The sequence below is a fragment of the Homo sapiens genome, chromosome 12, assembly GCF_000001405.40.
Source record: "Homo sapiens chromosome 12, GRCh38.p14 Primary Assembly".
In the NCBI taxonomy this organism is placed as follows: domain Eukaryota; kingdom Metazoa; phylum Chordata; class Mammalia; order Primates; family Hominidae; genus Homo; species Homo sapiens.
This window is the reverse complement of record NC_000012.12, coordinates 68,850,889-68,864,397: the sequence shown is the minus strand read 5'-3', so window position 1 is coordinate 68,864,397 and position 13,509 is coordinate 68,850,889. Positions and strand designations below refer to the sequence as shown.

Sequence of the window (13,509 nt, the reverse complement as noted above, 5' to 3'; positions counted from 1 at the left end):
TGATCTCGGCTCACTGTAACCTCCGCCTCCCAGGTTCATGTGATTCTCCCACTCAGCCTCCCAATTTGCTGGAATTACAGACACCCACCATCATGCCCGGCTAATTTTGTATTTTTGTAGAGACAGGGTTTCACCATATTGCCCAGGCTGGTCTTGAACTCCTGACCTCAGGTGATCCGCCGGCCTCGGCCTCCCAGAGTGCTGGGATTACAGGCATGAGCCACCATGCCCAGCCCATTTGCATTAGGTTTTATAAAGAATGTGTATCTGCCTGTCTCTATAATCAGATGCAAACAACTCACTCAAAAAATACATATATTGGCACATCAACCCTGCCCCCTTGTGGTTTAAGACAGATGCATAACATGGTTTAATAATGAAACCATATTTCAAAATACCAATACAGTGTGGTTATTACTACTTAATAGAAAGGTTCTCTCCCTACTAGTGCCCAATAAGAAACTAATGAATATTTTGTTTGTGAAGAATGGCAGCAAACACCCCTTTATTGGTATTGCTCTGGTTTAAAGACATTATTGATATTCGTCAAACTGCATTGCATTTACTGGTTCCATTTTACCAATTGCTAGGATGCTTCTGAGTTTCTGAGGTTTTGACCCATCTGGAAGTCTCTGAGCCACCTTGTCTGGGAAGGAAAGGCCTTCTGCTTTAGTGGAAGGGCCTTGCCAAGAGGGTAGAGGCTTAGGTAGAGCCCAAGCTGTTTTGTCATCTGGCGATGTTTGCAATCTTGAGCAAGCACTTGTCTGAATCTCAGTGTAGTCAACAGAAAGTTGAGAGTAATAGCATCAGCCTTGCCTCCCACCAGCCTGTTCTAAGGCTTCAGTGGTGTTATTCCTTCAATTAGAACTCACTGCAGACCTCAACTGAAACTCGGGCCCCTTGGTGCTGTGTTGTCCTGCTTAGAGGATGATTTACTAGGTTCAAGTTGAGATGAGGGTGTCGGCAGACATTAAAACCAAAGTAGCAAAGGAGGGCAAGTCTGAATTCTAGAGGCTTAAAATGTCTTGCTTGTCCCGGTCTCTGAGGAGAAGCAAAGATGAGCCAGACACGGTGTTACCTGCCTGCTGCGGCCCTGTCTTTCCCCTGGACTCCTCAAAGCAGATCTGAACCTAGAGAGCAAGGGAATGGCTCACAGCATCCAGAAACCTAAGCAACCTGGGCATAAAAGAATCTGGTATGTGCTGAGTTCCAGAAGCCTGTGAGCCACAGATGTGGATCTGTTATCACATCCAAAATAGGAGGCAACTGTGACCATGCGGTGGGGACATGGGCACAAACAAGCAGTCTCCTAAGTACTGTCCCAGCTCCGACTCTAAATTGTGGCCAACAGATGCAGAATTCTAGTGCTTGCCCAGCCAAGACTTTTCATTCATGAAGCTCTAATCCATTTCCAAGGGAAAAAGAGCTTTACATTTCTCCCATGTATCTCCCCATCTGGCCACAGAATTTATATCTCAGATTTTATGTCTTCTCATTTGTATTGTATCTGAGCATTTTTCAAATTTTCCTTTTTTTTTTTTTAATATAGTGTTGGCTCTCTCTGCGTCTCTTAGGGTCTACCAGTCTTTTTTTCAATGTTTCAACTTCAGCATATAGAAATAAATCACATTTTCTGGTAAAACAATTACTTCCCTCTTAAGTAAAAGGTTTGGTGGTATGTAGACAAAATATTGTAAAGACATATACAAGCTAAAGCACGCTTTTATTTGGCTGGTGGGAGGGGTTTTCCTTTGAATATAAATTCCATACATAAGCATGGTCTGTGTTTGCCCAGTAACAGTGATATTCGCATACCCCAGGCTTCCATAGCTGGAAGAACCATCTTTAGGTTTAGGTAAGAGTCATATGAAAGTGAGTCTTTGGGCCTGTAATCCCAGCACTTTGGGAGGCCAAGGTGGGCGGATCACTTGAGATCAGGAGTTCGAGACCAGCCTGGCCAACGTGGTGAAACCCATCTCTACTAAAAATACAAAAATTAGCCAGGTGTGGTGGTGGGCACCTGTAATCCCAGCTACTTGGGGTGCTGAGGCAGGAGAATCGCTTGAACCCGGGAGATGAAAGTTGCAGTGAGCCGAACTGGTGCCACTGCACTCCAGCCTGGGCAACAGAGGGAGACTTCAATTTAAAAAAAAAGAAAGTGAATCTTTGGGTTATTAGGGGATGACGAATGAGGGTCAAACTGGAATATGAAGATTTTCAGACATTTCTTCAAATGCAAATTGTTCTTCCTTTTTCTATCTTTGAGGGTAGGCAGACCGCAGGTTGACTGGAGCCTTGATTCAGCTGCAGCACACACTGATACGTAGGTGTTGTTCAAGTCCCTGAGGCCATCCAAAATCACTGTCATGTGACTGTCAAAAAAGTCAAATCTGTTCTATTAAAGTGTAACTGCTTCTAGCCAAGAAGAAATTTGCTGCCTTTTTTTAAAGGGTACCATGACTTTTTTTTTTTTTTTTTTTTTTTTTTGGTGTCTTCTGCCAACTACTCATTACTAGTACCCTGAATTCTATTTCATCATTATCTCCAATGTTAAAGAATGGTGTAATGTTAGCCGGGCGCGATGGCTCACGCCTGTAATCCCAGCACTTTGGGAGGCTGAGGCGGGCGGATCATTTGAGGTCAGGAGTTCAAGACCAGCCTGACCAACATGGAGAAACCCTGTCTCTACTAAAAATACAAAATAAGATGGGCGTGATGGTGCGTGCCTGTAATCCCAGCTACTTAGGAGGCTGAGGCAGGAGATTGCTTGAACCCGGGAGGCAGAGGTTGCAGTGAGCTGAGATCGCGCCATTGCAGCCTGGGCAACAACAGCAAAATTCCATCTCAAAAAAAAAAACAAAAAATTGTGTAATGTCAGTTTCAATGATAGCTCTGCTTCATTTTTTATGCACTTGATTTTCTTCGATTTGGTTGGTTTTGGGGAAGTCAACAAAAAATACAAAAGATGCCAACAGACACAACACCATCCAGCACAAGTTACCTTGCTGAAACGCATGGATTTTCTAAGTGGCATGAAGACTGTAAACTAGCTCAGAGCCCTGGAAAAGGAAATAATATGCATAGCTTCTTCCCTCACATATTCCTGCTTTGTGGAACAAAGTTGAATTAAGACTCCAGAAATTCATCTAATATATTCTCCCCCCGCCACACCACATAGTTTTTCTTAATCCAAATAAGAGGAAAGGAAAGAAAGCCAGGCCTGGTGGCTCACACCTATAATCCCTGCACTCCAGCACTTTGGGAGGCCAAGGTAGATCATGTGAGCTCAGGAGTTCAAGACTAGCCTGTGCAACATGGCGAAACCCCACCTCTACAAAAAAATACAAAAATTAGCCAGGTGTGGTGGTGTGTGCCTGTAGTCCCACCTACTTGGGAGGCTGAGGTGGGAGGACTGCTTGAGCATGGGAAGTCAAGGCTGCAGTAAGCCCTGATCACACCACTGCACTCCAGCCTGGGTGACAGAGCAAGACCCTGTCTAAAAAAAAAAAAAGAAGAAGAAAGGAAAGCAAGAATTAATGTTTGTTGATCCTCCTGTTCTGTGTTACTTACATTTAATCTTCACAACCATCCTGGGTGGTGGTATATTATCCCCATTTCATAGGTGATAAAATTGAGGCTTGGGAATGTTCAGTGACTTGAGAACTAGAATTCAAATCAAAACCTGACTAGGTTCTTTCTGTCACACCAAGCTATGATGATGGGTACACGCTATATTTATCACATATCAAAGGACCTCCTAAGGGGGGCACAGTGTAAATAGCTCTTCAAAATAATGCCATTGAAGCTGAGTGTGGTGCCTCACACCTGTAATCCCAGCACTTTGGGAAGCTTAGGCAGGTGGATTGCTTGAGCCCAGGAGTTCAAGACAAGCCTGGGCAACATGGTGAAACCCCATCTCTACAAAAAGTTAATTAATTAATTAAATAAAACAAAATAATGCCACTGAAACCCAAGGAATAAATGCGTAATCAGGTTACCAAATTATTACCAATTTATGATTGGGTACTACCTAAACATCAAAAGGATATGTATCAAGCAGTAGGAATAAATATAAATGGAACTGTGTTTAAAAAAGAGAGGGCAAAGAGGAACACACGAAGTGAAAATAGAAGTTTACACAGTTGTATAGAGAAAGGGAGAAGGAAATGTGGCATTTTCCTCCTCAGGAGACAAAAAATGAAGAGTCAGGAACTAAATAGGACAGAAAGTATAATAAAAGGCAACCTAGGTCAGATAGAAGTTTGTTGAAGTTCAAGATAAACATTGTTTTGCTAAATGCCAAAATTTTTATTTTTCACTTTAACCGTTTCTGGGGGAAACTGTTACGTGTGCCTCGTATTTTTCTGCCCTAATAAATAATTATTGAGCATAACTGTTTGGGGAGAGTTCAAGATCATCTTACTATTGTAGCTCTTCATTCTCATTTATGTTATTGGGGACTTAGGCAGCTTCACCTTAAGGTAATATGATTTGACGCTGGAGTAAACAAACTAGATGTGACACGTAGGATCTAAAATAAGAAAGGTCTTAAAATATAAATGGCTTTTTAAAAATTGTACTCCTGAAATTTTGAGAGGGGCTGTCGAGACTATCATGGGTTGACGGCTAGGCTGGGCCACTTCGTTGGCTGTGTGAGTTTGAGGAGGTTATTTTAATAAGCCAGAGCCTTAGTTTTTTTCATCTGTAAAATCATGATAATAATTGATGACACAGAGCTGATATGAGAATTTAATGAGAAAATGCTCATTTGGTAGTTAGTACAGAGCCTGGAATATACTAAGTGCTCAATAAATATTGGCTGCTGTTACTGGCCAATCGATTCCATGCTTCCAAGAAGCCTTGTGATTATAATTTTGCTTCCCATGTAGTTGCACTACAAGACAAAACTATTGAGTCCCTCGCACACGTAAATATTTTGTTGTAACTAATACATTGACACCGTTTTTATTTAGGATTTTATGGAATCCACCAATGGTTGTAGTACAGTTTGGTGACTGAGTAAATAACTTGGAAGTGACAGGAATGGATCTTAGGTTGTCATCTGTGTTCTCTCACTGTGATAATACGTACTAATATAAATGGGCTATTCAACAACGAACAAATTTAAGCTATAAATCAGATTAGTAATTTTGACTGTATTTTAAGTTACATCAAAAATAAGTTTTTTCCCTCTCTAACACTTAATATTAACTCACAACATTGAGTTAGCTAATAAATATTGCATATATTGTTCTTAAATATTTATAATAATTTTTATATGCCATAAAATATGGTATTAATATTTAATTTTATTTTTGTCTTGCAGGTGTAAAGGGTCAAGTTTTTGATCAGAATGGAAATCCATTACCCAATGTAATTGTGGAAGTCCAAGACAGAAAACATATCTGCCCCTATAGAACCAACAAATATGGAGAGTATTATCTCCTTCTCTTGCCTGGGTCTTATATAATAAATGTAAGTATGCAATGCTAGTTATTGTTATTAAAATATTATAGAACTCATAATACTTATTCACCCAGAAGGAATCCAAAATAAGTCTAGGAAGTTCAAAAGTAGATCCATCGAGACAGAAAGAAAGGATAGTGTCAGACTTGCAATTGGCAGGAGGTGGAAGAGGTGGAAATTATATGAAAAAAAAAAAAACCACAAAAATTCATATTTTTTCCCTGATGGCAATTTTTAAAAAATGGAAGCCAAATCCTATCTCTTGTGATATCTTTTATGATTAAAATGTAACCCGATTAATAATAAAGAATAAGCAATGTAGCAAAGGTAGTTTATAGTTTCCCAGGATACGACACAACACCCATTCCACGGCATACACTTTCTACTATAAAAAATGAATTGGATAAAGTTCCTTAGAATTCATTTTATAAGTGAAATCTGATCCACAAATTTTAACACTATATTCAGCAAATGATAAACATATTTTGCAGCCCTTTTTTCATCGATGCAAGTAAAATTTCAGTCTTTAATTCCATAAAATATATATTTCTGAGTCATTTTATCCGAAGACAGGAAGGCATGGACTAATTTGAGCCTGAGTGGATTTATGTGAAAGAACTAAATGAATAAGTATTGATATAGTTGGCCAGATTTTGCCTCTTTCTCTTTGATGTGAATTTCTCTGAGAAATTCAGGATTCTTCTATTTTGCTTAGTGGGGCTTATGCCAACCATAGCAGTCATTCTATATAGAGCTAATCCTGGGAGAAGGTAGTCATCTCTTCTGTAGTGAAAACTGAGTTGGTATTTTATTATTTCATCTTGAGGACATCATGGAAAAAACATGGTTTTTAGTTTATAAAACTATAGAATTCAGAGCCTCCATGCTCCATGGGTTCTCCCCAAGGTGCCTAGATGTGAGGCTTATCAATTGCTAATCCTTTTAGGAATTTCTACTCCTGCCGAGAAAATGGATAGAGCTTGAAAAATCTCAACTCACTGTGAATCTTTGTCTAAAAAGGCCCTTTATTTTCCTCCTATTTACTGTGATATTTCTATTCTATTTAAAAATATGATTTTCCCTGTAGTGAATCTAAACTTATATGCAACCTCATAAATAAGCCACACCTTTAGAATAAAGTTATGAATTGTTCATTTCCCATTAGTTAGACTAACACAGTACACATTGACCCTAGATATTAGTTCTAGGATAATATTTGAAGGTAAGACTCTGGACATTGAAATGAATGTGTAAAATACATACCAATGAGTGGTTATGTAAATGTCATTCCCCATTTTTTCCCTTCTCCACCATATATAATAAAAGCATTTCTCAGTAGACATTGCCTGTAGTTAGTTTAGCATTTGTCTTGTCCTGATCATTTCCTCCACTAAAAAAAAAAAGAAAGCCTAACCAAAGATTCAGGCTGATATGAACAAAACCAGGTAAAATCAAAGCTTTTAAAGGAGGGTGGATGTGGTGGCTCATGACTGTAATCTCAGCACTTTGGGAGGCTGAGAGGCAGGTGGATCACTTGAGGTCAGGAGTTCAAGACCAGCCTGGCCAATGTGGTGAAACCCTGTCTCTACTAAAAATACAAAAAATTACCTGGGCATGGTGGTATGCACCTGTAATCCCAGCTACTTGGGAGGCTGAGGTAGGAGAATCGCTTGAACCCGGGAGGCGGAGGTTGCAATGAGCCAAGATTGAGCCACTGTACTCCAGGCTGGGTGACAGAGCAAGACTCTATCTCAAAAAAAAAAAAAGAAAAAAGAAAAGAAAGAAAGAAAAGCTTTTAAAAGAAGCAATAGGCTTGTAGGTCAGCTGAAAAGAAATTAGTAAGTTGAGAAAATAATTCTACTTGAAAATAATCTTGATATCCAAGGAGGATGTTAAATACACACTTGGGACAAAGGGAAAGAGTTATCTCTTTACCCTTCTGCCCCACGAAAAGGATGGTGGCAGAAACATCTGCTGCTTCCTTCTCTTGACTTACATTGCCAGATGAGGTACCCATCTGTCCTTATTTCATTTTGTAATTCTTGGCAACAGCATTCACAACGCTGGTCTCTGTCAACAGGCATTGGATAACTCAGCCTGCAGGACCAAATCTGTTGCTGGCCCAGAGGTCTGGTAGATTGTTACATGCATTGCACAAAGGCTGCATTTTAGTGATGGATATCAGTGTTTTCAGTGTGGGCACCACGAACCATCTTAAGTCACTCATATAATTGTCTCTTGTTTCTTCTCAGGTTACAGTCCCTGGACATGATCCACACATCACAAAGGTGATTATTCCGGAGAAATCCCAGAACTTCAGTGCTCTTAAAAAGGATATTCTACTTCCATTCCAAGGGCAATTGGATTCTATCCCAGTATCAAATCCTTCATGCCCAATGATTCCTCTATACAGAAATTTGCCAGACCACTCAGCTGCAACAAAGCCTAGTTTGTTCTTATTTTTAGTGAGTCTTTTGCACATATTCTTCAAATAAAGTAAAATGTGAAACTCAACCCACATCACCACCTGGAATCAGGGATTGCTCACTCCAGGTTACTGCAACCCTAACTCACTCTAGTGGGACCTTGACTGGAGAAACTCCACGATCTTCCTGAAGAAGAGAAATGGATGTTTCCAAATTCCACAATAAGCAATATGTGGTGATAATGAAAAGAATGATTCAGTCTTGACGGTGAATGGAAGACACTTACCTAACAAGTACTGCTCATTTACACTCAAATTAATCTTGAAGTAGTCTTAAAATGTGTAAGAAGTTAAAACTTGAGAAGCAAAAAAATGCCTGCAAAAAGAAGATCATTTTGTATACAGAGAACCGGATGAATATAAGCAATGAAGATGAACATTTATTGATCTTCTACATACAAGACTTCACCATAAGGCCAGGAGCAGTGGCTCACACCTTGTAATCCCAGCACTTTGGGAGGCCAAGGTGGGCGGATCACCCTGAGGTTAGGAGTTCAAAACCAGCCTGACCAACATGGTGAAACCCTGTCTCTACTAAATATTAGCGGGGTGTGGTGGCGGGCACCTGTAATCGCAGCCTTTCAGGAGGCTGAGACAGGAGAATCGCTTGAACCCTAGAGGCGGAGTTTGCAGTGAGCCGAGATAGTGCCATTGTACTCCAGCTTGGGCAACAGAGTAAGACTCTGTCTCAAAAAAAAAAAAACAAAAACAAACAAACAAAAAAAACACCTCACCATGAGTGCTACATGTGAATAGATATTAAGTGCCATATATAATTAGTTCTCAGAAGAAGGGAGAAATGATCATAGGACTGGGAATTGTTTTGCAAACGTTCTAGGAGATGTGAGAGAAAATATGTAACCACATCTTAGTGGCCCAAGAAAATACAGGCCTGAAGGGATAAGATTGTGTCTCTATAGAGCTTCAAAGCATACAGGTCAATTAAGAAAGCCCCTCTCTCTCCAGAGCCGTTTCCCTAGCTTTTGGCACCTGGATGCCACAGTCCTCCATTAGGCTGATGACTCCAAAGATGTAACTCTAGCCTCTTGCCTGAGCTTCAGACTCGCGTCCCACTGCCCACAGGACACATCCACCTGGATGTGACTCACAGGTACCTCCAACCCATCATGTGGAGATACTCATCCTGTTCCCCCTAGAGCTGCTCTTCCTGCTGCATTCTCTCTCTCAATTACTGGGACCACCAAGCTAGGAACCTGGGAGTCATCCTTGATACTTTCTCTTCCTCCTTAATCCTGTGTATTCAGCAAGTAACTAAAGGTTGGTGTTGGCCAGGCATGGTGGCTCATGCCTGTAATCCCAGCATTTTGGGAGGCCAAGGCGGGCGGATCACTTGAGGTCAGGAGCTCAAGACCAGCCTGGCCAACATGGTGAAACCCCATCTCTACTAAAAAAAAAAAAAAAATTAGTCGGGCGTGGTGGTGCATGCCTGTAATCCCAGCTACTGGGGAGGCTGAGGCAGGAGAATCGCTTGAACCTGGGAGGCAGAGGTTGCAGTGAGCCGGGATTGCGCCATTGTACTCCAGCCTGGGTGAAGAAGTGAGACTCTGTCTTAAAAAAAAAAATTGGTGCTGATAAATATTGATGAATTCTGCTCTCTGCTCTCTATGGTTGTCAACACTGCAGAGTTGAGGCCTCATATCTCACCTGCACTGCTGCAACAGCTTACTGGTCCCTTGCTCCCAGCCTTCTCCTCTTCAGTCCATCGTCCACACAGCACTGGGGAAGGGGAGCCACTTGAAACAAAAGTCAACAACTGGTTGTAGTTCATAAACACAGAGCTGTTTGTGTCCCCTGTATCTGGAATGCCATTATGACCCACTACATTTTTTCTTTCCTACCCCTCTTAAAACTCAGTTCAGGTAGCAGCTCCACTAGGAAGCCTTGGCTGACCATAATCCCATTCAATTCCATTTCACCTCTTCGCAGGCAGTCTGGGGTTAGGGACCCTTTCTCTTTGCTCCCCAAAATAAACTGGTTATCTCTACTATTGGATTTACAACATTGTATTATAATCTTCTCCATGTGTGCCTTCTCTAGTAGAATGTGAGCTCTTTGAGGCCAAGGTCTATTTAATTTGTTTGAAAAATTCATTGTTATATCCTCAAAGCCTAGCACATAGTAGGTACTGAATGAATGAATGAACAAGGGGTGCCAGGAGACTGCTACTCCCAGTCCTTCCCAGAAACTGCCTAGGGCTTTGAGTCATTTTATGAAGCTAGGTCTTAATGCGTAGGCAACCTCCCAGCTCACTATGAACGCTGACAGAAGAGTGTTTTCATGTCTATAATCAAGAATTCCAGATACATTCCTTTTACTGAACCTTGAATTGATCCTAAGATTGGTAGTAAAGGTATTATGTTACCTCCTAACAGCACTACAAAGTACCTTTTTTTATCAGAAAAAAATTTTACCATTAGGACTCAATTTGAAGTACTAATGCTTCTCAAGTTCTCCACTATGAGAGTTACCCTGTATTAGACCGTTACCTATAAGAATTAAGGGGTAAAGCACTAAACAGAAAAGAAAAAAAAAATAGCAACTCTGGTGAGCAGATTTCTTTCCTTTCTTCCTTCCTTCTCCTCTTCCTACCTTCCTCCCTCCTTTCCCTCTCCTCCCCTTCTCTCCCTTTCCCTCCCCTTCCCTTCCTTTTCTTCTTTCCTCCGCTCCCCTCCCCTTCCCTCCCCTTCCCATCCTTCTTTCTCTTTTTTTTACTTAATCCCCAGTGTGACAGTAATATAGGCTGATTTCTAGAAGTGTGGTGTATTACTCATGGAAAGTGAGTTGCCTTGGTTATTACTTTCAATTGAAAGTTCTATGGGATCTAGAAATGAGACATACTGGCATGGAGAGTGAGAACGACAAAGGAATGAAGAGCTACAGGAGCATTTAGGCCATTTCTATGCCAAGCTTATTCTACATGCACAAAATCATACATGTTAATAAATATAAACAAATTGGAGGCTTATTTAAACCAATTATGAAATCTGGTAATTTGTGCAGCAGCAATAGATGATAACCAAAAAAAACTCATAATAATCTGAATATCTTGATCATTTGTATTTAAAGAAGCAGTAATTATATACTTGAAAGTACATAATATAGTATTGCAAAAATGACTTTGGTATATTACAAATTAAAAGTATATAAGATGAAACTTGATTTGCTATCAAGCCCCAAGCAATTTTTCAACTGGGCATTGAATTCTAACTTTTCTAAGATAGCAATTTTTGAAGAGACACGAACAAAAATCTGAATTAGTTCATGAGCCTTAATGTAAATCTCTTGCTGAAATAGTTTTTAAAATCAGAATTTAGTTATCTATCAGACTCAAAATCATTTAAAGACTAACAAAACACAATCATGATATTCTAACTGTGGTCAAACCAGGTACCCAAGCCACCTCCCTGCCCAACGCCTTTCCGGCTTTTCCCCTCCCTCTTGGGCTGGTGGTTATGCTCCTCCAGCTCTAGTTCAGCTATAATTCCTTTTATAGAGAAACCAACCTGATACACACTTTCATGATGGGAGAAAAATGTGGGAGTGAAATGGTATTTAGAAAGCAGCAGTCAGGCACGGTGGCTCATGCCTGTAATCCCAGCACTTTGGGAGGCTGAGGCAGGCGGATCACTTGAGGTCAGGAGCTCGAGACCAGCCTGGCCAACACGGTGAAACCCCATCTCTACTAAAAAAAAATACAAAAATTAGCCGGGCGTGGTGGCAGGCACCTGTAATCCCAGCTACTTGGGAGGCTGAGGCAGGAGAAATCGCCTGAACCCAGAAGGCAGAGGTTGCAGTGAGCCAAGATCACATCACTGCACTGCACTCCAGCCGGGGTGACAGAGCGAACCTCTGTCTCAAAAAAAAAAAAAGAAAAAAGAAAGAAAGAAAAAAGGCAGAAGCCCTGGATTCAAATCCGCCACACATTCAGTTTCTTTATCTGTAAAATGGAGACCACCCCCCGCCACGCTGAACGGTGATTCTGTGACTGGTAAGAGATGCTACATTTTTGGTGCTTGTTCAGGTGGAGGAAAGATGATAGTTAACACTCAGGTAATAAGTATTTTGAAGGCAGTATAATATACCTTCTTAAAGAGTATACCTACTCAAATGTTGGTAAATGTTGACATGATTGAATCTAAATGGCAAAGAGTATTTTAGAAAAACATTAAGTCCCTGCAGATAAATGACAGTGTTGATTTGGATGCTTAATTACATTCAGACATGAACTGTTGGATGTATCTGAAATGTTAAAAGCTTTTTCTCAACATTTCCAAAAGTCTTTCCAAGAAATCAATGTTATGTTTTGTTCCAGAAGCAAATTTGCATTTGTGATCTGTTTCTAAAAATGGTACAAGTTAGCTCTGTTTAGAAAGTAAAAATATCTGATGTTAGATTGGAAGTATCTCTTCCTGGGGAATCCAGAAAGATAAGCATAGCATATTGTCTTACTGCAATAGATAAGTTGCTTATTGAGAAGTCTGGTTGTTATTCTATATGGTAACAATACAGTTGATGTATATTTTATGATAGATCCTTTATATTTTCCTCATGACTTTAGAAGGGGGAAGGGGGAGAAAATTATGATGACCAGACTAGTTAAAGAGCATTGAAAGTCCACAGTACTGTAGCTAAAGTAGAAGTTTGGGTTTGTTATAGACTTTACATTATATCAACTAATAAGCAGATACTGTACAGTATTGCTCACCATTTTATCATACTTTTGCATATGAACTACTCCATTGCCTTTTATAGATGTTTTATAGCTGATCTTACCAGTTTTCCTGGTAACTTTTTTTATTTCTTTTTTTTTTTTTTGAGACGGAGTCTCGCCCTAACACCCAGGTTGGAGTGCAGTGCCGTGATCTCGGCTCACTGCAACCTCTGCCTCCCGGGTTCAAGCAATTCTCCTGTCTCAGCCTCCCGAGTACCTGGGACTACCGGTGCCTGTCTCCACGCCCGGCTAATTTTTTGTATTTGTAGTAGAGACGGGGTTTCACCGTGTTAGCCAGGATGGTCTCGATCTCCTGACCTCATGATCTGCCTGCCTCTGCCTGGACCTCCCAAAGTGCTGGGATTACAGGCGTGAGCCCCCGCGCCCAGCCACTTTCTTTAATACTATAACTAAGAATTTATTAAAATGCACAAATTGTCTAAGACTGTAAAGTTTATTGGGGAGAGGCCATGACTACCTCTGAATTTAGTAAATTTAAAATATTTCTGATTCTCAATAAAGAACTAATATCCATATAAATAATGCTTTTTTCCCATTATGTTACCTGAAAATAAGTACTTATGCAAGTATAACAAAGTCCACTAAAAATAACTGATTACCACCAAATAAAGCTTGGGAAAGACCAAACTTAATGACCTTTTATGAGGCAATAACATTGCAACAACTCTTCAAAGTCCAGATAGTTCTTCCAGAACAAGTTACATATGCTATATGTTATATATATTATATATAATACATTCCAAATTAATTTGTGTTGTGGGGCAGTGTGTTCCATGGACAAGATGATGGATGGAAAGTATGCCTT

The 13,509-nt window shown here is 40.4% G+C and overlaps 1 protein-coding gene across 27 annotated transcripts in view; it reads left to right on the top strand.

Annotated features, from left to right (window-relative positions):
- Window positions 1–13,509, top strand: part of CPM (carboxypeptidase M) — a 121,273-nt gene that overhangs the window by 99,072 nt on the left and 8,692 nt on the right. For 21 of the 27 annotated variants that reach the window (NR_182143.1, NM_001413398.1, NM_001413393.1 and 18 more), the window contains 2 exons: window positions 5,327–5,475; window positions 7,719–13,223. Coding sequence is in view for 20 of the 27 variants with exons in the window: in NM_001413398.1 (NP_001400327.1) it covers window positions 5,327–5,475; window positions 7,719–7,961 (392 nt within the window). In the remaining 7 variants the exon portion in view is untranslated. Of the gene's footprint in view, window positions 1–5,326; window positions 5,476–7,718; window positions 13,224–13,509 lie in introns of those variants that run through there. The other 6 variants (XR_001748580.3, NR_182142.1, XR_001748577.3 and 3 more) reach the window with 2 other exon arrangements.